This window comes from Homo sapiens, chromosome 16 (assembly GCF_000001405.40).
Source record: "Homo sapiens chromosome 16, GRCh38.p14 Primary Assembly".
NCBI lineage: Eukaryota > Metazoa > Chordata > Mammalia > Primates > Hominidae > Homo > Homo sapiens.
Genome location: NC_000016.10, coordinates 48,615,945 through 48,642,916, shown reverse-complemented (window position 1 = coordinate 48,642,916; position 26,972 = coordinate 48,615,945). Strand labels below are relative to the sequence as shown.

The 26,972-nt window shown below is 46.2% G+C and overlaps 1 long non-coding RNA gene across 2 annotated transcripts in view, besides 3 other annotated features; it reads right to left on the bottom strand.

The window, feature by feature from the left end:
• The window catches only part of LOC105371240 (uncharacterized), a 124,894-nt gene extending 105,414 nt beyond the window's left edge, over positions 1–19,480 (bottom strand). For both annotated transcript variants that reach the window (NR_188470.1, NR_188477.1), the window contains exon 1: positions 19,314–19,480. This is a non-coding gene — a long non-coding RNA (uncharacterized LOC105371240). The remainder of the gene's footprint in view (positions 1–19,313) is intronic.
• Positions 12,640–13,139: an enhancer, noted in NCBI's record as "H3K4me1 hESC enhancer chr16:48663689-48664188 (GRCh37/hg19 assembly coordinates)". NCBI's record gives its function as "activates a minimal SCP1, AML or CMV promoter by ChIP-STARR-seq in naive H9 embryonic stem cells {active_cell/tissue: H9 hESC(naive)}" and the evidence as "EXISTENCE:reporter gene assay evidence [ECO:0000049][PMID:30033119]".
• Positions 13,140–13,641: an enhancer, noted in NCBI's record as "H3K4me1 hESC enhancer chr16:48663187-48663688 (GRCh37/hg19 assembly coordinates)". NCBI's record gives its function as "activates a minimal SCP1, AML or CMV promoter by ChIP-STARR-seq in naive H9 embryonic stem cells {active_cell/tissue: H9 hESC(naive)}" and the evidence as "EXISTENCE:reporter gene assay evidence [ECO:0000049][PMID:30033119]".
• Positions 24,925–25,219: a silencer, noted in NCBI's record as "tiled region #15629; HepG2 Repressive non-DNase unmatched - State 22:ReprW". NCBI's record gives its function as "represses a minimal TATA promoter and a strong SV40 promoter by Sharpr-MPRA in HepG2 cells {active_cell/tissue: HepG2}" and the evidence as "EXISTENCE:reporter gene assay evidence [ECO:0000049][PMID:27701403]".

Below are 26,972 nucleotides of genomic sequence, written 5' to 3'. Positions count from 1 at the left end.
TAAAGGTAATGCAGTACATATAACATACACAGTGAAATGCTATTCAGCTATAAAAAAGAATAAAATACTGTCATTTGCAGCAAATAGGTGGAACTGGAGGATTTTACGTTAAGTGAAATAAGCCAGGAACAGAAAGTTAATTAAACACCACATGTTCTCACTCATATGTGGAAGCTAAAAAACAAAAATGTTGATCTCATAAAAGTAAAAAGTAGAACAAAGGATACTAGAGTCTGAGAAGGGTAGAAGAAAGGGAGGATAAGGAAAGATTTGTTAAAGGACACAAAATTCCAGCTAGACAGCAGGAATAAATTATAGTGTTCTACACCACTGTAGAATGACTAGTTAGAGAGAGAGAGAGAGAGAGAGATTTTTTTTCCCAAACAGCTAGAAGGAAGATATTGAACATTCCCAACACAAAGGAATGATATATATTTGAGTGATGGATATGCTAACTACCCTGATCTGATCACTATATATTACATGTATGGAAACAACACTATGTACTCCATGAATATGTACAATTATTATTTGTCAATTAAAATGTAAAATAATGTAAATCTAAAAAATTAAACTGGAAACTGTATTTCTCAACATAAGCTCTATCAAGTTCAAGACACTTTTGTATGCAATGATACCAGCTAAATTTTAGTCCATCCCTAAAGAACTAAGAGTCCTAGGAATTGAACCATGTCAATGCAGTTTTTTTTACATTATTAACTGAAAACAATGTGTGCTCTTGAAAGATTTTTTTTAAGATTAGGAAACAAAAAAATCAAAAGGAACCAAATCAGGACTGTAAGGTGGATGCCTGATGATTTCCAATTGAAACTGTCACAAAACTGCCCTTGTTGGATGAGAGGAATGAGCAGGGGCATTGTCGTGGTGAAGGACTCTCTGGTGAGGCTTTGTCAAGCATCTTTCTGCTAGCTAACTTCCTCAAAGCACTCTCATAATAGGCATATGTTATCATTCTTTGCCCCTAGAAAGACAAGAAGGAAAATGTGTCAAGCAACCAAAAAACTGTTGCCATGACCTTTGTTCTTGACCAGGCTGCTTTTGTTTTGACTGGGCCACTTCCACCTCTTAGTAGCCATTGCTTTGATTGTGATTTGTCTTCAGGATTGTACTGGCAAAGCGATGTTTCATCTCCTGTCAGAGTGGCTGTTATCAAAAAGATAAAAGGTAACAAGTATAGGTGAGGATGTGGAGATATGAGAACCCCTGCACACTGTTGGTGGAAATGTATAGCAGAAAACAGTATGGAGGCTCCTAGAAAAATTAAAAATAGAACAACTATATGATCCAGCAATCCTGCTATTAGTTATAAATCCAAATAAAATGAAATCAGTATATCAAAGAGATATCTGCACTTCTGTGTTCATTGCAGCATTATTACAATAGCCAAAATATAAAATCTATGTAAGCATCCATCGGCTAATGAATGGTTAAAGAAAATCTGGCATATATATGCAATGGAATACTATCCATCCTTATAAGAGAAGGCTATCTTGTCATTTGTGACAACGTAGATGAACCTAGAGAACATTATGCTAGGTGAAATAAGCCAGGCACAGAAAGGCAAATACTGCATGATCTCACTTAGGATGTGGAATAAAAAAAAAAAATTGAACTCTTAGAAGCAGAGAGTAGATTGGTGGTTATCAGGGGCTGGAGATGAGGAGGAAACAATGAAGAGATATTGGTTAAAGGACCTAAAATTTCATTTAGACAGGAGGAATAAATTCTGGAGATCTATTGTGCAGCATGATGACTATAGTAAATAATAATGTATTCTATACTTGAAAATTGCTAAGAGTAAATTTTAAATGTTCTCATAAAAATAAGTGTGTGGGGTGATGGATACATTAATTAGTTTGATTTAATTATTCCACAAAGTATACATATATCAAAGTTTCACAATGTATACCAAAAATCTACACAATATGTCATTTTTTGATTAAAATAATAATAGTAATAATAATAAATTCTATGTAGCAATAATCCCTAGACTAAGGAAACAAGAGGCCCTCAGCTTTGCCCCCAGCCAGCTGAGCAGCGGTAGTTAAGGATATAGCTTCTCTTTGGCTACCGCTGGTCTCCTTTTTTGCAAACTTGAGACAATCACCGAGAGCCCTGGTGGCTTTTGAGAGGGCAGTTTAATGGCATGATGAGGGCAGGAGCCAGGCCAAAGAGGATTTTGAAGGGAGCTTCTGAAGGATAAACTGTTTAGTGTTTCTTGACTGAAGTTGGTAATTACAAGATGTAGTTCAGAGTAATCAAGAGGACAAGTATCTAAGCCCTTTGCTGATTGTTAAGGGCCAAGGGATCCTAAGGGCTTGGCATCTGGCCCCATTCTCCTGTATTTTCTCTTCTCTAATTTCCCAGTGATCTTACCAGGACAGTTTTCTCTCTCTGCATGTGTGTGCCTGCACAAAGGGCTGCCTTATTAAATAGTAATTCTCATTCTTACATTCCATGTCCTTTTCCCCTGGCCCTGTTTCCTCTTTCCCTCTGTAATGTGAAGGACTGTGCAATTCAATCTATATTGGAATTAGAAGTTTGGAGCAGGTACAATCACACTGTATCAAATCATTTTGAAATTAATGTTCATTCAGACCCATAACCAGGCATGTGGCAGGTTAAGAGGGTACACGTGGAAGGGCCCCTGCCAACACACACTCATCCTCCCAGAAACACAATCAGGCCCTAGCTCAGCATTTCCCAGATGTCAGTCATTTGAATATACCTTCGTTATTTGTAAGAATATTTTGCTATATTCACTTATCACCCAACTGATTTTTTTTTTTGAGATGGAGTCTCGCTCTGTCACCCAGGCTGGAGTGCAGTGGTGCAATCTCAGCTCACTGCAGCCTCTGTCTCCCAGGTTCCAGCGATTATCCTGCCTCAGCCTCTCAGGTAGCTGGGATTACAGGTACGTGCCACCATGCTTGGCTAATTTTTTGTATTTTTAGCAGAGACAGGGTTTCACCATGTTGGCCAGGCTGGTCTCGAACTCCTGACCCTAGGTGATCTGCCTGCCTCGGCCTCCCAAAGTGCTAGGATTACAGGCGTGAGCCACCACGCCTGGTCCACCCAACTAATTTTTAAATCAACTTTAAATCAGTTACCTGTTTTTTAACTTAGCTCTTCATTAAAAACAATAACCATGAAAAGAATGGGTTTGATATGTTAATAATATATTTTTTCTAATTTAAAATATACATAGTCATTCCACAGAGGGTATTGGTTCCAGGGCACTCCTGACCCCCTGCAGACACTAAAATCTGCAGATGCACAAGTCCCTGTATAAAATGGTGTAGGATCTGCATATGACCTATGCACATCCTCCTACATAGTTTAAATCATCTCTAGATTACTCATAATACCTAATATAATGTAAATGCTATATAAATAACTATTATACTGTGTTTTTTACAGTACTGACAAGATATAAAATCTGTACAGGCTGGGCATGGTGGCTCACACTTGTAATCCTAGCACTTTGGGAGGCCAAGGCGGGCAGATTGCTTGAGTCCAGGAGTTAAAGACAGACCAGCCTGGGCAACATGGTGAAACCCCATCTCTACCAGAAGAAGTTACAAAAAATTAGCCAGGCGTGTTGACTGCCACCTGTAGTCCCAGCTACTCAGGAAGCTGAGGTGAGAAGATCTACCTGAGTCCAAGAGGTGGAGGTTGCAGTGAGCCAAGATCATGCTACTGCACTCCAGCCTGGGTGACAGAGCAAGATCCTGTCTCAAAAATTAATTAATTAATTAATTTAAATAAAATCTGTACAATGCAATTCCTGGTTGGTTGAAGCCACAAATGCGGAATTCATGAATATAGAGAGGGCCTACTGTATACATCATGCTCATCCGTGTAACTGTTAACCTCATTTTCTGTACCACCGGTGTATATACCACCCTTTGCGAAAACACCGTTAGAACTCATCACTGCACTCCAAGGTGATCATTGGGAAGGCGTGTGCTCCTCCCAGGCCTCAACATTGCAGTAACACTTGTCCACCTAGATCCCATTTTTTCAATAGGAGCCTTCACTATATAAACTTAATCTGGATTAAGGTCGTTTTTTTGGTAGGGAGGAAGGCTTATATTGGTTTGCTGGGACAGCCACAACAAATTACTACAGACTGTAGTAATTTGTACTACTACAAATTACTACTACAAATTTATGTGACTTAAGCAACAGAAATTTATTTTCCTCCAGTTCTGGGGGCTGGAAGGCCAAAATCAGCAGGACCAGTTTCTTCTGAGGCCTCTCTCCTTGGCTTGTAGATGCCGTCTTCTCCCCACGTCCTCATGTGGTCTTTCCTCTGTGCTTGTCGGCGTCCTAATCTCTTCTTATGGGAACAGCAGTCATATCGTATTAGGGCTCACCCATATGACCTCATTTGCCTTGATCACCTCCTTAAAGGCCCTGTGTCCAAACACAGTCCCATTTTGAGGTACTGGGTGTTAGGACTTCCACATATAGATTTTGGGAAGACACAAGCTAGCCCGTTGCAGGGCTTAAATGCAGGATGAGAGAGGATGGTGAATTCAATATGAGGGCCATGGTTGGAAGAATCAGGCTGCAGGGGATTACAAAGGAAAAGTCAAAGTTTGAAAGTAAAATGAGGAGGAAAAAAGGCAAAAAATAAGAATCAGGTTTAAACACCTGAAGACATTACTCATTCTGATTTACAAGTCACTGGATAAAAAAAAAGAAAAAAAAGAAAAAAAGAGGATATTACTCATGACCAAGAAGTGCTTATGGCCCGGGTACGGTGGCTCACGGCTGTAATCCCAGCACTTTGGAAGGCTGAGGCAGGTGGATCACGAGGTCAGGAGATCGAGACCATCCTGGCTAACACGGTGAAACCCTGTCTCGACTAAAAATACAAAAAATTAGCTGGGCATGGTGGCAGGCGCCTGTAGTCCCAGCTACTCGAGAGGCTGAGGCAGGAGAATGACATGAACCAGGGAGGCGGAGCTTGCAGTGAGCCGAGATCGTGCCACTGCACTCCAGCCTGGGTGAGAGAGCGAGACTCTGTCTCAAAAAAAAAAAAAGTGCTTATATATAAAAAATTGACGAGTCTCTAGAATATCCCAAATCCAATCAAAACAACCACAGTGTTGTCTGGCTGTGAATGGATCTAGAAAGATGTAAACAGGCTGGGCACAGTGGCTTATGCCTATAATCCCAGCACTTTGGGAGGATTGCTTGAGCCCAGGAGTTCCAGACCAGCCTGGGCAACAAGGTGAGACCCTGTATTTATAAAAAAAAAAAAAAATCAAAAAATTATCTGGGCAGGTGCTGTGCACCTGTGTACTCCCAGCTTCTTGGGAGGTTGAGGCAGGAGGACCATTTAATCCCAGGAGGGTCCAGGCTGCAGTGAGCCATGTTTGTGCCACTGCACTCCAGCATGAGTGACAGAGCAAGACCCTTTCTCAATTTTTTTTAAAAGAAAGACATAGACAACTGACAGAACAGTCTTTATCCGAAGGGAATGTGTGTAGGGCAACTCCGAAAGATGGGGCAGAAACACAGCAGTCTATGTGGTCTTGGACACTGTCCAGGGTCAGGGAGCAGAGGGTGTAGGGTGTAAGTGCCTTACCTAGGCACTTACCTTAGAGTACAGCTGGAGGCTCAGGGGATGCCACCGGCCATGAGGATGGTCCACCTGGCTGCACCTCCCAGAAAGATCTGCTGACCAGGAGGAAATGTGCCTATCAAGGAGCACAGGAGTCTGAGCTGGATCTGTTATGTGTCTCGTGGTTTCTCCATCCACCTCCTGGAAGCATGGCTGGCAACATAGTAATTAGAGCTAACCCCAAATATTCCAGTTCTTCTCTCCTCCCAAGAAACTGCTAGGATTGCATTTCCACTCCTTTGAAATTAGTTGAGTCCATGTGACTTGCTTTCCATGTGACTTGCTTTTTTCAATGAAAAGGGAGTGGAATAACACGGGTCTCTTCCGGGGAGAAGCTTGAAGAGACAGTGAGGGATTTGCTATAGTTCTTTTCCTTCCTCTGTAATGGTTGAAATGGAGACTCTATCAGCCCGGATCCCGGGGCACAACGATGAAATGAGTCCCTCTGCTGACCTGTGCTAGACATGTAGAATAAGCAAGAAATACAGTTTTGTTGTGTGAAGCCGCTGAGGTTTGGAGATTATTTGTCACTGGAGCAGAGCCTAGCCCATCCTGACTGATAGTTAGTGTGAGCCAGTCCTACTGAGTCTGCTCATGTCAGTATTGAGAAAAGAAAGGCAGAATTTCTATTTTGTTTGTTTGTTTGTTTGTTTGTTTTGAGACAGAGTCTCATTCTGTCACCCAGGCTGGAGTGCAATGGTGCGATCTCAGCTCACTGCAACCTCCACCTCCTGGGTTCAGGCGATTCTCCAACCTCTGCCTCCCGAGTAGCTGGGACTACAGGCACGTGCCACTACACTTGGCTAATTTTTGTATTTATAGTAGAGACAGGGTTTCACCATGTTGGCCAGGCTGGTCTTGAACTCCTGACCTCAAGTGATAGGCCCGCCTCAGCCTTCCAAAGTGCTGGGATTACAGGCGTGAGCCACCACCCCCAGCCTGAGCCACTGCGCCTGGCAGAATTTCTAAACCAGCAAAGCTTAGAACGAAACCCTGAGACAAAGTGATCGGTCTTAACTGGCTAACTAGCGTCCTTCTTCTTTTCAACTTGCCCCTGTTGCCCTTTGAGATATTTTATTTAGCTTGATTCCAGCAATGAACTGTGGGTCCACCCCCTTATGTTCTATATTACCCCACACAAACCAGCTGTCTATGGGCCATGTCCAAGCTACCGACATGTTCACTTAGCATGCTTAAAATGTTTAATTAGTTAAAACTGGAGGATTTTATATAAAAATCTAGATTCTTGGCTGCTCAGAAGAAATTAGACTATCCAGCCCCCTTGGTCCTATATTATACGACTTGAAGCAAAATCACAGCTACCCACTTCAGATGGGAGCTGAGCACACCAAGATGCCACAGACTCCACTGTTCCCTGTTGCTTAATCTCTGTTGGCCTCATTCACTTCCTGCCTCAACTCTGAGAGCATCTGAGTCTGTGACCTCTGTGTGTGCTTCACCCTTACCCACACACACGCACATACACACGCACATACACACACATACACACACAAACACACACACACACACACACTCTCTCTCTCTCTTCCAGTCACTCCATCCAGCGTGTATTTTCCCAAACATTCTTTTCCACTCCTTTCTGCCTTTACGTTCCATTTCCTCTGCCTGGAATGCCCCTCATCATCTCTACTCACTGAAATAAGCCTGTGCATTCATTCACCAGCACCCAGCTCAAGTGTCACCTTCTGAGGTGGCAGACGCCTGGCTTGGCATCCATCTCCCCTCCCTGCATGGCCTAGTCTTCCCTGGAGACAGAGATGGTCGTGTATGTGAGTCCTGGAAAATGAGATGGAAGCGTAAGTGTGTGGTGGATGTCATGGAAGGCCACCTAAGGGAAACATCTCTCCTGGGAACTGGTGTGCACGCCGCCTGCCTCCTCCCTCAGTCTAGCCTCTGGAACAGAGAACGCACCCTCTCCATTACTCCTGCCTCCTTCAAGACTCTTGTCAAATATCACCTCTCAATGAGATTTCTTCTTTTTATTCTTTTTCTGAACTCTGTTGCCCAGGATGGAGTGCAGTGGCACAATCATAGCTCACTGCAGCCTCAAACTCCTGGGCTCAAATGATCCTTCCTCCTCAGCCTCCTGAATATCTGGGACCACAGGTGTGCACCACCACACCTGGCTAATTTTTTTATTTGTAGAGACGATATCTCACTATGTTGCCCAGGCTGGTTTTGAACTCCTAGGCTCAAGCAATCCTCCTGTCTTGACCACCCAAAGTGCTGGAATTACAGGTGTGAGCCACTCAGCCCAACCTCAATGAGATCTTTTCTAACTGCCCTACTTAAAATATCGACACCCCTCCCTTCCCAACTCTCCCGACCATCCTTTCCCTGCCTTTCCCCCAATGTGGTCTACTTTTTAATATTGTAAAATGTACATATTTAGATTTGGTATTTATTGCCTGCTCCCCCACTGGAATATCAACCTCACGATCACGAGGGCAGGGAATTGTCTTCTTTTTTTTTTTTTTGGTCTCTTTTAACACTGATGTATTCCAAGCACCCAGAAAGAACCCATGATAGACATTAATAAGTATCCTGAATGAATAATACACCTCAGCCATTCCATGCCATTTGAAACCCAGACATTCTTAAGGTTCAGCGTTACTCCCACTTTCCATAAAAACCAAGTCCTATAGGCTGCCTCTGCATATCACCTCTCTGATCAATTTTATCCTCTCTATGTCCCCAAACATTGCCTGCATTTGAGGCTCTGTCATCTCCCTCTAGCTATGACATCAGCATCCTATCTTTCCTTTCTTTTTTTTTTTTTTTTTTTTGAGATGGAGTTTCACTCTTGTTGCACAGGCTGGAATGCAGTGGTGCCATCTCGGCTCACTGCAACCTCCGCCTCCCAGGTTCAAGTAATTCTCCTGCCTCAGCCTCCTGAATAGCTGGGATTACAGGCACACACCACCACGCCCAGCTAATTTTTGTATTTTTAGTAGAGACGGGATCTCACCATGTTGGCCAGGCTGTTCTTGAACTTCTGACCTCAAGCGATCCACCTGCCTCAGCCTCTCAAAGTGCTGTCTCTCTGTTCTCAATCCTTTCCCCTCCAACCCACCCTACAGAGAGAGGACCTCACAGTGTTAATGTCCTGCTTAAAACCTTTCTATGGCAGGCGGGCATGGTGGCTTACACCTGTAGTACCCCGGGAGACTGAGGCAGGAGGATGGCTCAAGCCCAGGAGTTTGAGTTCAGCCTGGGCAACATAGTGAGACCCTGTCTCAGAGAAAACAAATTTATGAGTTTCAAGTCAAGGCTAAATTGGAAAAAATAAAATAAATTTAACCAGCCTCTCTATGGCCCCCATGGCCTTCTCAGGAAATCCAGTCTCCAGTGGTCCTGAAGCCTTAAGTGGTCTGGACCCACTTCCTGCTGTGCCTGCTCATCCTCACACCATCCCCCACAACATTCCTCAGGCCTGCAGAACATCTTACTGCTGGCCACAGAGCTCTCCTGCAGACATTTTCATCTTCTGCTCTTTCTGCTGAAAATGATCTCCCTGCGTCTTTTTTTTTTAAGAGTCTTGCTATGTTGCCTGGGCTGGTCTTGAACACCTGGATTCCAGATATCCTCCCGCCTCTGCCTTCTTGGTAGCTAAGATTACAGGCATGAGCTGTGCTATTCAGGTTCCCCTGCCTCTCATCAGGCTTGTTCCTACCTTCCTTGGGGACGTCCTCCAGGAAGCCTTCCTTAGCTTCACACCAGGCTGGGTGAGCTGCCTCATATCTGTGTTCACATATCAACTTGTGCTGATCTTGGTCGGCTTTTCTGACTCGGCCATGAGATCATGTGAGCCTTGAGGACGGAGTTTTGTCTTATTTTATAATCCCAGTGAGGCTGGGTGCAGTGGTGTGCATCAGTAAACCCAGGTTCTGCAGTGAGCTATGCAGTGAGCTATGATAATATCTGTGAATAGCCACTACACTCTAGGTTGGGCAACAGAGCAAGACCCCATCTTTAGAAAATAAAAACAGGCCAGGCACAGTGGTTCACATCGGTAATCCCAGGACTTTGGGAGGCCAAGGTGGGTGGATCACCTGAGCTCAGGAGTTTGAGACCAGCTTGGCCAGCATGGCAAAACCCCATCTCTACTGAAAATACAAAAATTAGCTTGGCACGGTGGCGCATGCCTGTAACCCCAGCTACTCAGGAGGCTGAGGCTGGAGAATCGCTTGGACCTGGGAGGCGGAGGTTGCAGTGAGCTGAGATCGTGCCACTGCACTCTGGCTTGGGTGACAGAGCAAGACCCCATCTCAGAAAAAAAAAAAAAGTAAATAATAAATAACAAAACAAATTAAATTTATTATTTAAATTTTTTAAATAACAAATGATAATCCCAGTGAGGATACATCATCTAAATAGTAGGCACTTAGTAAATAAGAAGGGAAGGAAAGCAGGAAGAAGGGAAGAGGGAAAGCAGAAAAGAAGAAAGAAAGGTCTCAAATGCTCAGCTCTCTTTCTGGGCACATGGTGGGGCTGCACCTCTCCACCCACTTGAGCTCGTGCACGGCCATGTGATCTGCTTTGGCCCATGAAGTATGAGTGAAAATGACATGTGTCACTTTTAGGCAGAAGCAGACAGGTCAGTCTGTGGTCTCCATCCTCTTTTTACTGCCTGCTGGGTCACAGAAGCACTTGTTGAGATGGAGTCTCTGTCACACAAGGCCCCTGAGTGACTAAGACAAGCAGAGCCCCTGGTGGACCTGCAGTGGACACACAGCATGGGGTGAGAAAGACACTCTGTTCTTTTGAACTGCTGAGAGTTTAGGGTTTATTATTAACCTAGCACAACCACGTCTCTTCTTTTTTTTTTTTTTTTTTGAGATGGAGTTTCACTCTTGTTCCTCAGGCTGGAATGCAGTGGCGTGATCTCAGATCACTACAACCTCCACCTCCCAGGTTCCAGCGATTCTCCTGCCTCAGCCTCCTGAGTAGCTGAGATTACAGGTGCCCACCCAAAGTACTGGGATTATGGGTGTGACCCACCTTGCCCAGCCACGTCTCTTCTTTTCTTTTTTAATTTCAACTTTTGTTTTAGATGCAGAGGATATACATGCAGGTTTGTTACATGGGTATATTGCATGATGCCGAAGTTTAAGGTACGATTGATTCTGTCACAAGCATAGGACCCAATAAGTAGTTTTCCAACCCCTGCAGCTCTCTTCCTCTACCCTCTAGGAGTCCCCAGTGTCTATTGTTTCCATCTTTGTGTCCCAATACCCAATATTTTGCTCCCACTTATAAGTAAGAACATGGGGTATTTGGTTTTCTGTTTCTATGTTAATTCAAGTGCAGTTGGTTTGAGGTATCAGGGAAAATCGCATCTTTTTACCCTTCTATTTGCTAAGAATATCAGACACTACCTTGCCTTTCCCACTGCTATACAATTTCAATTCCAATTGTCTGTTTTCCATAGATTCTTGCAAAGATGCTATAAGGTGAACAGGTGAAATATTATTTATTTATTTATTTTTTTTTTTTTTTGAGACGGAGTCTCGCTCTGTCGCCCAGGCTGGAGTGCAGTGGCGGGATCTCGGCTCACTGCAAGCTCCGCCTCCCGGGTTCACGCCATTCTCCTGCCTCAGCCTCCCAAGTAGCTGGGACTACAGGCGCCCGCCACTACGCCCGGCTAATTTTTTGTATTTTTAGTAGAGACGGGGTTTCACCGTTTTAGCCGGGATGGTCTCGATCTCCTGACCTCGTGATCCGCCCGCCTCGGCCTCCCAAAGTGCTGGGATTACAGGCGTGAGCCACCGCGCCCGGCCCAGGTGAAATATTATTATCCTCCACCTACAAACTAAGAAAAAGAACCTGAATGACTGCCCGGGACTCCCTGGGTAGGAGAGAGGGGAGCTAACACCAGAGCCCAGGTCCCCAGCTCCCCACCCAGGGCTTCACTGCTTGGCTCCAGTCAATAAAATAGCACAGGTCTAAAGAGTCTAAAATCTGGAGGTCCCCACCAGAAAGGGATCCTTCTTTTTTTAAAAAGGAAATATATCCAAAGGTTAGAATCAGGCCAGGCGCGGTGGCTCACACCTGTAATCTCAACACTTTGGGAGGCCAAGGCAGGTTGATCACTTGAGGTCAGGAGTTCGAGACTTGCCTGGCCAACATGGTGAATCCCCCATCTCTACTAAAAATACAAAAATTAGCGGGGAATGGTGGCAAGTGCCTGTAATCCCAGTTACTCGGTAGGCTGAGGCAAGAGAATCGCTTGAACTTGGGAAGCAGAGGTTGCAGTGAGCCGAGATTGCACCACTGCACTCCAGCCTGGGTGACAGAGTGAGACCCCTTCTCAAAAAAAAAGAAAAAAAGGGTTGGAATCGTGGACTTTAAAGCCCGACTGCCCAAGCTGGCCCCAGCTCCAGCCCTCACTACCCAGAGATCATGAGCATAGCTCCCTCTCTCTCAAGCTCCATTCCTCCAGGCCTGTAACACTGGGATAATAATAGTATCTACTTCTTACTCTTGTGAGTTTTAAATAAACAAATCCATGAAGAAGACTTGGCATGGCGTCTGGCATATAATAAAGGCTCGCTGAGATTTCTCTATGACTACCCTGTTATCACAGTTCTTTCCATTTAAACAGCCGCCTTCCAGGACTGTAATGCCAGGCTGCTGCCACAAGGTGGCACTGTTGTCTCTGGCCACCCTTCCTGAGTCGCTAAAGCTTCATTTCTCAAAATGCCAAGTTGAGTCAGGACGGAAGGAGAACCCAGAAAAAGATGACAGAGTCCGAGAACTCCAGACAAAAACGTGACTTCCTTGTCACATCAAAAATGATGAAACTGCTTCCGTCTTTTATCTCTGCTCTTTCTTGTAGCTGGATCCCCACACCTCAGAATAGGCTGAAGCAGCTGGTAAAATTGGGCTGCCCAGCCCCAACCCCACACCACGGGTATAACTGGGCGGGGGGTCCTAGTGGAAGGTGATTGAATCCACTGCTGTAGAGAAGGGCTTCTAGGGCTGTAGCACGCTTACGCCTCACCTGGGCACCTTATGAAAATGCAGATTCCGATTCTCAGCCTCTCTGTGCCTTATTTCCTTCATCTCAAAATAGGGAATAATAATGGCACCTACTTCAGGGAGTTATTATGCAGAAAAAGATGACAGCATGATCAGTTAAGTGATTAATTGAATAAGCAGGGCACATGGCGAGTGTCCTTGCAAGCTTTTATGTTAGAGAGAAAAAAAAGGTCAGGCTTGGGGCTGTGGGATGGGGCCTGGCACTGTGCATTTCTTTTTTGTTTGTTTGTTTTTGTTTTTGTTCTTTGAGACGAATTCTTCACTCTGTAGCCCAAGCTGGAGTGCAGTGGTGCAATCTCAGCTTACCGCAACCTCCACCTCCGGGGGCTCAAGCGATTCTCGTGCCTCAGCCTCCCAAGTAGGTGGGACTGCAGGCGCGTATCACCACGCCCAGCTAATTTTTTGTATGTCAGTAGAGACGGGGTTTCACCATGTTGCCCAGGGTCATTCCGAACTTCTGAGCTCAGGAGATCCGCCCGCCTCGGCCTCCCATTACAGGTGTGAGCCACCGCGCCCAGCCAGCACTGTGCATTTCTAACAAGCTCTTGAGTGAGGTCTGTGCTGCGGTTCCGGGCCCCATACTCTGAGGACCTGGCCCATTTGTGGCAAATGGAATTGGCGACCTCTTGGAAGTCAAGGCTGCAGTGAGCCGAGTTCCTTATGCATGCCGGTTCACCCAGCCGCACAACAGCCCTGTGAAATCAGTGTCATTGTTGCCGTTTTATGGATGATAAATGAAAACATTAAGTAACTGTCCCAAGGTTGTAACAGCTAATTATTAGCAGAGCCGGAACTCAAACACAATACACTCTGCTAAATCAAATGTTATTGTTTTATGTTGAATTAAAGTAAACGTGGCCCAGCTTTCCCTCCCTGACTTCTCAAGACAAAGAGAAAAGATCACGGAGGCAGCAGAGAGTGGAAAGGAGGGCAGCGCCTGGAGCCAAATCTATCGGACTCACAGTCTGTCCAGTCAGGAGCTGTGTGACCCTGACGAGTTGCTCAGCCTCTCTGTGCCTTATTTTCTTCATCTCAAAATAGGGAATAATAATGGCACCTACTTCGGGGAGTTATTATGCAGAAAAAGATGACAGCATGATCAATTAAGTGATAAATTAAATAAGCAGGACACATGGTGAGTGCTCAGTCATTGTCTGCACCGAGGGCTTATGTCCAAGGCTGTGAGAACTGCAGGGACCCATGATCTCCACTTTGGGCTTTAGGGAGCTCACAGTCTGATGAGGGAGAGTGGGGAAAGTGATCGCAGAAGGCCCATCGGAGCACCCATGGGGAGCAATCACCACCACGCAGCTCAGCATAAGGCAGCCACCAGCACCCCACAGGAACTGTCAAAGCTCATCTGTATGTTCATCTGCTCCTACACTCCCCAAACAAGTTTAACACCTTGAGTGAGTCCACTCATTATGGATGCAACGAGACCACAGAGGACATGAGATGGAGGCTGTGAATCCACTAGGCCCTTTGTTCCAAAAGACTCTTGCAGCAGGAGCTGACCACAACGCGAATGACTGCAGTGTGTAAAGACATGATTTGTACCATCAGGCCTCTAAATGCACACCTGCGACTTCACATGGTGCCTCAACAGTGATCCATTCCAAGGCCGGAGGAGAAACAGCCTCGCATTTACTGAGATAAGGTGGCTGGTCTCAAATGTGGGGCCTGGCTGTTTTCAAGGGTGAGTCTAGACACTCTTTACTCTGTAGTTGCAGTTTAAACCCTGGGTAATTTGAGCCTGCTCATCTGGGTCATAGTTAACAATGTGTCTTCAAGAGACTGGAAACAAACTGCCCTTCAGGAAACCAGGTACAGTCTCAGCTACTCTGGACGCTGGGGTAGCAGGATCCCTTGAGCCCAGGAGTTCAAGGCTATAGTGCACTATGATTGCACCTGTGAATAGCCACTGCACTCCAGCCTGGGCAACATCGGGAGACCTCATCTCTAAAAATTAATAAAATAAATGCCCATCATTAGGGAACTAGTGAAAGAAATTGTAAAATAAGCTGCTTGAGCAGATAAAAGCAATAGAATGTGGGGGCTCTCAATGTTCTTATATAGATAGATTTCGTCCTATGAAAATAACAAGCTACGGCTGGGCATGGTGGTTCACACCTGTAATCCCAGCACTTTGGGAAGCTGAGGCAGGCAGATCATCACCTGAGGTCAGGAGTTCGAGACCAGCTTGGCCAACATGGCGAAACCCCATCTCTACTAAAAATATAAAAATTAGCTGGGCATGGTGGCATGCACCTGTAATCCCAGCTACTAGGAGGCTGAGGCAGGAGAATTGTGTGAACCCAGGAGGTGGAGGTTGCAGTGAGCAGAGATCACACTACTTCACTCCAGCCTGGGTGACAGATTGAGACTCCATCTCAAAAATAAAAATAAAAATAAATAAAATAAAATGTAGAAAGATAGTCCCAGCAACTAAGGAGTCTGAGGCAGGAGAATCACTTGAGCCCAGGAGTTTGAGGCTGAAGTGACCCTTGATCGTTCCACTGCACGCCACCTTGGGCAACAGATTGAAACCCCAACGCACATACAAAAAAAAAGGTGGAAAGTTCCACAAAAAACAAACAGTAGTGGTTATCCCTAAGGGAGTCCACTAGGAAGACGGGGGACAGAGACAGAGAGAGCAGTGCAGGTAGGAGCAGACCCAGTTGCCCCTGGTTGCCTTGTTATTGTTTTATGCTGAATTAAAGTAAACGTGGCCCAGCTTTCCCTCCCTGACTTCCCAAGACAAAGAGAAAAGGCCACAGAGGCAGCAGAGAGTAGAAAGGAGGGCAACGCCTGGAGCCAAACCTCCCGGACTCACAATCTGCCATTCAGGAGCTGTGTGACCCTGATGAGTTGCTCAGCCTCTCTGTGCATTATTTTCTTCATCTCAAAATAGGGAATAATAATGGCACCTACTTCAGGGAGTTATAATGCAGAAAAAGATGACAGCATGATCAATTAAGTGATTAATTGAATAAGCAGGGCACATGGTGAGTGTCCTTGCAAGCTTTCATGTTAGAGAGAAAAAAAAGGTCAGGCTTGGGGCTGTGGGTGCTTACCAACTGTCTTTCGGTTCCCTCCAAAATCCCTCCCATCTGTGGGCGCCCTTCCACTGAATGCCTTTTTAAAAATTGTGGTATAAAAAAACACAACATAAAATATATAATCTTTACCACTTTCAACTGTACAGTTTGGTAACGTTAAGTATATTCACATTGTTATGAATGTATTTTAATACTTATGTAATTTTTTTTTTTTTTGAGATGGAGTCTTACTCTGTCACCAGGCCGGAGTGCAGTGGCACAATTTCAGCTCACTGCAACCTCCACCTCCCAGGTTCAAGCGATTCTTGTGCCTCAGCCTCCTGAGTAGCTGGGATTATAGGCACCTGGCCACCACACCAAGCTAATTTTTTTTGTACTTTTAGTCGAGACAGGGTTTCACCATGTTGGCCAGGATGGTCTCGATCTCCTGACCTTGTGATCCACCCACCTCAGCCTCCCAAAGTACTAGGATTACAGGCGTGAGCCACCACGCCCAGCCCTGTGTTGCCTATTTAAGAAATCAATTTAAAAATCATTATGCCCTCATGCTACCTGACTTCAAACTATACTACAAGGCTACTGATACCAAAACAGATATATAGACCAATGGAACAGAACAGAGGCCTCAGAAATAACACCACACATCTACAGCCATCTAATCTTCAACAAACCTAACAAAAACAAGCAATGGGGAAAGGATTCCCTATTTAATAAATGGTGCTGGGAAAGCTGGCTAGCCATATGCAGAAAACTGAAACTGGACCCCTTCCTTACACCTTATACAAAAATTAACTCAAGATGGATTAAAGACTTACATGTAAAACCTAAAACCATAAAAACCCTAGAAGAAAACCTAGGCAATACCATTCAGGACATAGGCATGGGCAAAGACTTCATGACTAAAACACCAAAAGCAATGGCAACAAAAGCCAAAATTGACAAATGGGAGCTAATTAAACTAAAGAGCTTCTGCACAGCAAAAGAAACTATCATCAGAATGAACAGGTAACCTACAGCATGGGAGAAAATTTTTGCAATCTATCCATCTGACAAAGGTCTAATATCCATAATCTACAAGGAACTGAAACAAATTTACGAGAAAAAAACAAACAACCCCATTAAAAATTGGATGAAGGATATGAACAGACACTTCTCAAAAGAAGACATTTATGTGGCCAACAAACATATGAAAAAAAGCTCATCATCACTGGTCATTAGAGAAATGCAAATCAAAACCACAATGAGATACCATCTCACGCCAGTTAGAACGGTGATCATTAAAAAGTCAGGAAACAACAGATGCTGGAGAGGATGTGGAGAAATAGGAATGCTTTTACACTGTTGGTGACGGTGTAAATTAGCTCAACCATTGTGGAAGACAGTGTGGCGATTCCTCAAAGATCTAGAACCAGAAATACCATTTGACCCAGCAATCCCATTACCGGGTATACACCCAAAGGATTATAAATCATTCTGTCATAAAGACACATGCACACGTACGTTTATTGCAGCACTATTTACAATAGCAAAAACTTGGAACCAACCCAAATACCCATCAATGATAGACTGGATAAAGAAAACGTGGCATATATACAGCATGTAATACTATGCAGCCATAAAAAAGAGTGTGATCATGTCCTTTGTAGGGACATGGATAAAGTTGGAAACCATCATTCTCAGCAAACTAACACAGGAACAGAAAACCAAACACTGCATGTTCTCACTCATAAGTGAGAGTTGAACAATGAGAACACATGGACACAGGGAGGGGAACATCACACACCGGGGCGTGTCAGAGGATGGGGGGTAAGGGGAGGGAGAGTATTAGGACAAATACTTAATGCATGTGGGGCTTAAAACCTAGATGACAGGTTGATAGGTGCAGCAAACCACCATGGCACATGTATACCTGTGTAACAAACCTTCACGTTCTGCACATGTATCCCAGAACTTAAAGTCAAATTAGAAAAAAAAGAAGAAAAAAAAAATCATTATGCCCAAATACATCATTGATGTCTATTTCAGTTGAGTAAGGAGACTTGTTATACTGGGAAAGAGAAAAAAAGGGGAACATGTACCTTGAAATCATACTGAACTGAATTCAAATCCTGTCCCTGCCATTTACTGGCATTGGAAAAGTCAAGTAAGTTCTCTAAGTCTTTGTCTCCCCATTCTTTTTTTTTTTTTTTTTTTTCAAGACAGGGTCTTGCTCTGTCGCCCAGGCTGAATAGTGCAGTGGCTCAATCTCGGGTCACTGCAGCCTTGACCTCCCCGGCTCCAGCAATCTTCCCATCTCAGCCTCCCGAGTAACTGGGACTACAGGCATGCGCCATGTCTGGCTAGTTTTTGTACTTTTGGTAGAGACAAGGTTTCGCCATGTTACCCAGGCTTCCCCGTTCTTCAAAATGCACATGAAAATGATGTCCATCAAAGCATTCCCGGGAGCATTAAATGAGAATTCTTGTAAAGCAAGGAGCACATAATCTAGCCCAAGAGCGCTGCGAGTTCACAGTGACTCTTTATTTTGCACTGCACTTGGAAGAATGTTGGACAAAGCGCGTGCCTTGGAAGCCAGGGCAGGAGTTCTCAACCTATGGAGCACCAGGAACACCTGGGGTTCCTGTTAAAAATATCCATGCCAAGAGTCCCACCCCAAACCCACTGAGCCAGAATCTAATAGAGGTGGATGGAACCTAAGCTACTGCTACTGTATTTTAACACCCTGCCCCTCTTTTTTTTTTTTTTTTTTTTGAGGTCGAGTCTCGTTCTATCACCCAGGCTGGAGTGCAGTGGCGGATCTCTGCTCACCACAACCTCCGCCTCCCGGGTTCAAGCGATTCTCTTTCCTCAGTCTCCCGGGTAGCTGGGACTACAGGCACGCGCCACCATGCCCTGCTAATTTTTGTATTTTTAGTAGAGACGGGGTTTCACTATGTTGGCCAGGCTGGTCTCGAACTCCTGACCTCGTGATCCGCGCCCCCCCCCCCCCCCGCCCAAGGCCTCCCAAAGTGCGGGGATTACAGGCGTGAGCCACCGCTCCCAGCCCACCCTACCCCTTTAATTCGGGCACATCAAAGCTGAGAACAGCTAGATGGAGATGCCCTGTGTCCTTCGGTGTCACTTCTGGGCCTCCGGAGGTGGCAGGCCCAGGCAGACTGACGTGCTAAGGTTGTCGTTCTAGATGCTGAGAAGTTCTGGAGTCATCACCAGACAGTGTTAAGAAAGAGAGCTTTGGGGAGTAATTTCCCTCATGTGACCTGAGGGCGGGGGTAGGGATGGAGGAAGTCGCCCTCCCCGCTCTGACATCTGATCACCTTCTGTCCACTTGAAGCAGCAAAAAGAGGGTGCAAAGTCCCCGTTGCATTTTACTGAGCTTCTGATGCACTCCCCCACCTCCCCAGCTGCTCTCTCCACATTCGAGGAAGCAGCGCGGGTAGCAGCTGACCCAGTCGCCCCTGGTTGCCTGGAAGTGCCCTTCCAAGCTTTTTTGTCAGAGAGAAAAAACAAAAGCCAAGCTCGGGGCTGTGGGTGCTTACCAACTTTCTTTCGGTTCCCTCCGAAATCCCTCCCATTTGTGGGAGGCGTTTTCTGCCAGTCACCCACGTCCATTTGGTTTGCATCCCAATTCGGCCTTGCCACCGGCTCCCAGAAGCTCTGCGTGCTGCGGGTGGCCCCGGCGTCTACCTCGCGCTCGGGTGGAAAGAGCTGGGACGGCCTCGCAGACTGCGCTGGCGCCGCGAGAACAGCAGGTGGCGCCACGGACCCAAGGCGCCCTGAGCCGGGAGCGCTTCCTGGAGAGAGCAGGAGTGTCTGTGTTCACAGGAGCTCAATAAATGCTTGATAGGTATGTGTGAGAGCTGAAAGTTTCCCGCTGCACTCTGTGTCCAGGTCTAAGCAGAAAAGCTGGCAGGAGGGTGAAAAAGCGAGTGTCCAGGGGTGGGAGTTGAACAATGGGAACACACCTGGACACAGGGAGAGGAACATCACACACCGGGTCCTATCGGTGGGTGGGGGGCAAGCGGAGGGGGAGCATTAGGACAAGTACCTAATGCATGCGGGGTTTAAAACCTAGATGACGGGTTGATAGGTGCAGCAAACCACCATGGCACATGTATACCTATGTAACGAGCCTGCACGTTCTGTACATGTATCCCAGAACTTAAAGTCAAATAAAAATTAAAATTAAAATTAAAAAAAAAAAAGCGAGTGTCTCCGCAGGAAGGGCGGGCGGACCCTCCGCCTTGCAGAAATGGGGAAGCCTGGCCCGGGAGCAGGGAAGGCCGCGCAGCACCAGGAGCGGAGGGGCCAGGACTCGGTCGCCAGCTCGGTGGTCTTAGACCCTACACGGGCTTCCCCAAAGACCTGCGGCTGCTAGCAACCCCCACCCCAGGGACAGAGTCCTCGGTCCTGGGGCACCAACTGAGAATTTCCCACTCTGAGTCATTTACATCCCCTTGATGATTTTGGACGTACCTACATGTCACCTGAAATATGACTCAGTTATTTTTTTCTTCAACTCAACTGTTTAAAGTTAAATGTAGGCCAGGTACAGTGGCTCATGCCTGCAATCCCAACAGTTTGGGAAGCCCAGGCTGGAGGATCTCTTGAGGTCAGAAATTTGAGAGCAACCTGGGCAACATAGCAAGACCTCATTTCTCAAAAAAAAAAGAAAAAATTCAGAGCAGGAGTGTAAGTTTATTTAAAAGGCTTTAGAACAGGAAAGAAAGGAAAGGAAAGTATGCTTGGAAGAGACCCAAGCAGGCACCGACATCAAATGCCCATTTTTTTTTAATTAGCCAGGTGCAGTGGTGCACACCTGTAGTCCCAGCTACTCAGGAGGCTGAGGTAGGAGAATCGCTTGAGCTTAGGAGTTAGTTCAAGGCTGCAGTGAGCCGAGATCATACCATTGCACTCCAGCCTGGGCGACAGAGCAAGACTCTGTCTCTAAAATAAACAAACAAGAGTTATCTGTATTAAAAAAAAAAAAGTAAATAAGTAGAGCTAAATATAAGGGAAATAGTTTATTGCTATACTAACTAGAAGCCCAGTATTTCTCACCAAAACATAAGAGAACTATAAAAATAAATACACAACAGTCATGATTTCTTACAAGTCTGTCAGTTTACCGCTGAAAAGCAACTGGTATCTCATCAGTGCTGTGTTTTCCACACTTGAGGAAAATCAGGGATTCCAGCGCAGAAACCAACAGGAATTCTGAATGAAATGAGGTAACAGGTGGTGAAAGGAAAGCCAAGCAAAGCCGGAGAGAGAGGGGTTCAACCCTGACCGACATTCTGTGCCGGGCAGCAGATTCCAGGGCTTCTTGCAAGATGCACGTTCTTCCGGAAACTGCAAGTTATTTTTGACTGGTAAGCTGGAGGGGAAGGGTAGAGGCCCAGTTTCCTGTGAGCCCACCCCACCCCTGAGGTCTGATGCCAAGCTGATGGCATCACAGGGTCAGGTAGTCCCAAGAGGTCACCTGGCTGGCCTCCCATATCTGGTGACCAATCACCTGTCCCACAACCTTCTTGAGGGGTCTTCCTCCCTCTGCCCCAGTGCATTGCTGCTGTGGAGGCAGCTGCAGGGAGGCAGGACCCAGGGCAGCTGGCCAGACAAGTGAGTGCAGGGAAGATAGAGGAGGTGGAGTGGCCCTTCCCCAGACACAGCTTCAGTGAGCCTGTGATTGAAGAGGTGTCTGCACTGGGTTACGCTGTAGGGAAAGATAACCATGGGACTGTGGGCAAGGCACTTCCCCTCTTGCTCTTGGCTTCCTCTTCTGTAAATTAAAGAAGGTGGGTCAAACAGGACCTTGTAGTGAAGAGTCGTCTCCAAGCACCTCTCCAGCCTGAGACTTGGGGCTGTTAGAGGGAGGAATTGCCTGGCCAACCGTGTCTTTCAGTGCATGCAGTTGGTTTTTTTTTTCTTTTAAAGACAGGGTCTTGCTCTGTTGCCCAGGCTGGAATGCAGTGGCCTGATCATGGCTCACTGCAGCCTCGAAATCCTGGGCTCAAGTGATCCTCCCACCTCAGCCTCCCAAGTAGCTGGGACTACAGGCACCCACCACCATGCCCAGGTAGTTATTTTATGGTTTACAGAGATAGGGCCTTGCTGTGGTGCCCAGTCTGGTATGCAAGAGTTTTGTAACAAAGTGTGCAAATGGTCTCTCCTATTATTTCAGAGAACCAAGAGCCCATGGTCAAGTAGAAGGAGCACCCTCCCCACTGTGTGTGTCCTGCAATCCTGGAATATGGAAAGGCCATTTGTGCCACCTTGTCCTGGAGCTCTTTAAGTCAAGAAATCCCAATTATTGATCCTGGGCAGTCCCTAAACTAGCCTGGTATGAGTTTGGGAGTGGGAGAGTTCAAGGGGAGCCAAGGCATGCCTCTGCCCCTCTAGTTCTGCCGGGAAGTCTTCAATATTGCACACCCGCTGTGACAGTCCTGGCTCAGTCCCTTCCTAGTGGTGGGGACTGCAGTCAAGTTAATTAATCTCTCTAAGCCTCAGTTTCTTAATCTGTAAAATGGGCATAACGCCTACTTCATAGAATTGTTTGTTGCGGCTAAATGAGATCATTCATGTAGAGTCGGTCAATCAGTATTTGCTGAACACCTACTGTTCTAAGTGCTTGGTGCATAGCCTAGTTCCTTGTACAGGATTAGGCATGCAGGGAGTTTTGGAAAAGCAATGAATATACGTGTATATATGTGTGTGTGTGTATATATATATATGTATATGTTTATATAGAATATCTTCCATACCACAGCAATTCCATTCAATCCCCTCTTTCAAACATGAAGGGGCTGGGCTTCCTCTTGGCATGGTAGCCAGGTTCCAAGCAAGACTGTTTCACCAGCAAGTGTTCCAAGAAAAAGGAAGTAGAAGCTTTCATCTTCCTAAGCATTGATCTTGGAAGTTCTGGAACATCACTTCCACTGAATTCTATTAGTCAATGAAGTCACAAGACCAGTCCAGATTTTTAAAGGGAAGTACGCACATGCAGGAAGGAAGGAATTTCTGAGGACCATCTTTGGAAACTACCTAACACAGACAAGGAATAGAAAAGGCCTGGTTTCCTGTGAGCCCGCCCCACCCCTGACCTGACGTCTGATGCCAAGCTGATGGCATCACAGGGTCAGGTGGTCTCAAGAGGTCACCTGGCTGGCCTCCCATATCTGGTGACCGATCACCTGTCCCGCTTCCTTCCTGAGGGGTCTTCCTGCCTCTGCCCCAGTGCATTGCTGCTGTGGAGGCAGCTGCAGGGAGGCAGGACCCAGGGCAGCTGGCCAGGCAAGTGAATGCAAGGAAGATAGAGGAGGTAGAGTGGCCCTTCCCTAGACACACCCTCAGTGAGCCTGTGATTGAAGAGGTATCTGCATTGGGTTATGCTGTAGGGAAAGATAACCATGGAACTGTGGGCAAGGCACTTCCCCTCTTGCTCCTGGTTTCGTCTTCTGTAAATTAAAGAGGGTGGGTCAGACAGGGCCTTATAGTGAAGAGTCACCTCCAAGCGCCTCTCCAGCCTGAGACTTGGGGCTGTTAGAGGGAAGAATTGCCAGCAGTTGCTCACTGACACTGTAACATTTATTCATTTGTTCATTCATTCATTGCCTGCCTTCCCCTCTCATATGTAAGCTGATGAGAACAGACATTGCTTTGTTTAGTGTTATATTCCCAGCACTTAGAATGCTTGGCACTTAGTAGGTGCTCAGTAAATATTTGTTGAATGAATGAATCAATCAATTAAGTAATCAATTATTCAATTGTCCTAACCAGCCACAGGAAGTTGAGTAGGACAAGAAGGTTTCATGGAAGAAGTGAGAATTGGGCTGGGCTTTAAAGACAGGTAGGCCTGGCAAGAATGTGTTCTATTGATGAGCCAATGAGAAGCAGTGAGAGATAGTGGGCTGATGCCCCAGTCACTTTGGTGGACACACAACCAACCACAAACCCTTAACTAATTGTTCTTTCACACCCCATACAGGGAGCTGAGAAGCCTTCATTAGATTTGATGTGTGTGTCCCATGGAGTATGTAGAAAGAGGATGCCAAATTTTTTTTTTTTTTTTTTTGAGATAGGGTTTTACTCTATTACCCAGGCTAGAGTGCAGTGGTACAATCATGGCTCACTGCAATCTCAACCTTCCAAGCTCAATCCATCCTCCCACCACAGCCTCCCAAGTAGCTAAGACCACTCTGCCTGGCTTTTTTTTTTTCTTTTTTCTTTTTTTTGAGACAGAGTCTTGTACTCTCACCCAGGCTGGAGTGCAGTGGTACAATCTTGGCTCACTGCTGCCTCCACCTCCTAGGTTCAAGTTATTCTCCTGCCTCAGCCTTCTGAGTAGCTGGGATTACAGGTGCACACCACTGCACTTGGCTAATTTTTGTATTTTTAGTAAAGACAGGGTTTAGGCCGGGCTCGGTGGCTCACGCCTGTAATCCCAGCACTTTGGGAGGCCGAGGCGGGCAGATCATGAGGTCAGGAAATCGAGACCATCCTGGCTAACAGGGTGAAACCTTGTCTCTACTAAAAATACAAAAAATTAGCTGGGTGTGGTGGCGGGCGCCTGTAGTCCCAGCTACTCAGGAGGCTGAGGCAGGAGAATGGCGTGAACCTGGGAGGCGGAGCTTGCAGTGAGCCGAGATTGGGCCACTGCACTCCAACCTGGGTGACAGAGAGAGACACTGTCTCAAAAAAAAAGAAAAAAAAAAAAAGACAGGGTTTCACCATGTTGGCTGGGTTGGTCTCGAACTCCTGACCTCAGGTGATCCGCCCGCCTCAGCCTCCCGAAGTGCTGGGATTACAGCCATGAGCCACTGTCCCCAGCCTAATTTTTTATGATCTTTTGCAGAGATGGGCGGGGGAGGGTCTTGCTATGTGCCCCATGCTGGTCTTGAACTTCTGGGCTCAAGCAGTCCACCCACCTCAGCTTCCCAAAGTGCTAGGATTACAGGCATGAGCCACTGCACCTGGCTGAATGCTGAATTATTAGCTCAGCCCTAGGGGCAGGGCTTTCTCTGAATTATCTCTGTAGAACAATCATTTTCAACTGGGGACAGTTTTGACATTAGACAATGTCTGGTGAGGTTTTCTTGTCACACCGGGTGTAGGGGAGTGGTTGTTATTGGCATCTAGTGAGTAGAGGATAGGGATTCTGCTAAACATCCTACAATTCACAAGACAGGTCCCTACAACAAAGAATTATCTCACCCAAAATGTCAATTGTGCCCCTGTTGAGAAATCCTAGCTGTAGAGGGTGATGGGAAAATGCTTTGAATTAGAAACATTTGGGAGCTGGCAGACTGCCGACAATCTCTGTAGTAGCACTTGGCAGAGAGCTGCATTCCCACCTAAGGACTGCGTGTTATAAATAGCTCCTCTCGGTATTGTGGCAGTTGTAGCAGTTTGAATCAATGTCAGAGGAGTTTCAATACATGGATAATAAAAATGCAAAGGAAATATATAAAGGGAGAGAATAAGAGACTAGAAGCAGCAGACGCATTGAGGTTTTCCTGCAGCTAAGGAGAAGCACGCCCTCCACGCTTGAATGCAGAGATTCTTCCTCCAAAATAGCTCTCAGATTCCTCCACTCCCTCCCCACTGCAACTTCCCTGGTCCAAGCCCCCATCCTCTGGCACCTAGACCAATACTGCCACTGGGAAGAAAAAAGAAAAAATATATATATATATATTATATATATATATATTCCATCCAATCCCCTTTCTCAAACATGAAGGGGCTGGGTTTCCTCTTGGCATGGTAGCCAGGTTCCAAGTAAGACTATTTCACCAGCAAGTGTTCCATGAAAAAGGAAGTGGAGGCTTCCTTCTACTTCCAGCAAGAACACTTGCTGGTGAAATAGTCTTACTTTCTTACTTGGAACCTGGCTACCATGCCGAGAGAAGCCCAGCCCCTTCGTGGTTTTTTTTTTTTTTTTCTGAGACGGAGTCTCGCTCTGTCACCTAGGCTGGAGTGCACTGGTGCGATCTTGGCTCACTGCAAGCTCCGCCTCTTGGGTTCACGCCATTCTCCTGCCTCAGCCTCCCTGGTAGCTGGGACTATAGGCGCCCGCCACCACGCCCGGCTAATTTTGTTTTTGTATTTTCAGTAAAGATGGGGTTTCACCGTGTTAGCCAGGATGATCTTGATCTCCTGACCTCGTGATCCACCCCCCTTCATGTTTGAGAAAGGGGATTGGATGGAATTGCTGTGGTATGGAAGATATTCTATATAAACACATATATACCTATGTTCTTCCCAGTCTACTCTGGCCTCCTCCACGCTTTTTCCCCAGAGAAGGGAGACAGATCTTACAGCATAAATTAGATGATGCATTCACTGCTTAACCTGGGAACACCAGGGGCAGCAGCTCACTCCTACAATCCCAGAACTGTGGGAGGCCAAAGCAGAAGGGTTGCTTGAGGCTAGGAGTCCAGACCAGCCTGGGCAACATAGTGGGACCCCGTTTCTACAAAAAATTTAAAAATTAGTCAGGTGTGGTGATGCTCGTCTGTAGTCCTAGGTATTCAGACTGAGAGGCTGAGGCAGGAGGATCACTTGAGCCCAGGAGTTTGAGGCTGCAATGAGCTACGATGGCATCACTGCACTCCAGCCTGGGCAACAGAGCAAGTCCCTGTCTCAAAACAAAACAAAACCCGGGAAGACTTTTTTTCCTCATTATACTAAAATAAAATACAAAATCTGTAACAGGCCCACCACATGCATTCTGGAGGGTCTGGCCTTATCCTGTCTCTGGGTGTTTCTGGAGGGCTGCATCCTGCCCTGTCCCCTGTTCCTGGAATATGTCGAGCTCAGTTCGGCCTCAGATCACTGCCCCCATAGAGTTGACAGTCTGATGGTGGAGGTGGACCTGAGTCAATCCCATCACTCAAGCACACAAAAAACTGGCCCTGGTGCCACAAGTGACAGGACCACAGTGCCAAGAGCCTACAGCAGGAGACTTGGCTCATCAGAGAGACCAGTGAATGAATTCTTGACAAAATCACTCTTCAGTGGAGCTTTGGAGGGTGAGGAGTTAACTAAATGAAAATAGGGCTTGGCCAGGCACAGTGGCTCACACCTGTAATCCCAGCTACTTACTTGGGAGGCTGAGGCAGGAGAATTGCTTGAATCCAGGAGGCGGAGGTTGTAGTGAGCTGAGATTGCACCAGTGCACTCCAGCCTGGGTGACAGAGCGA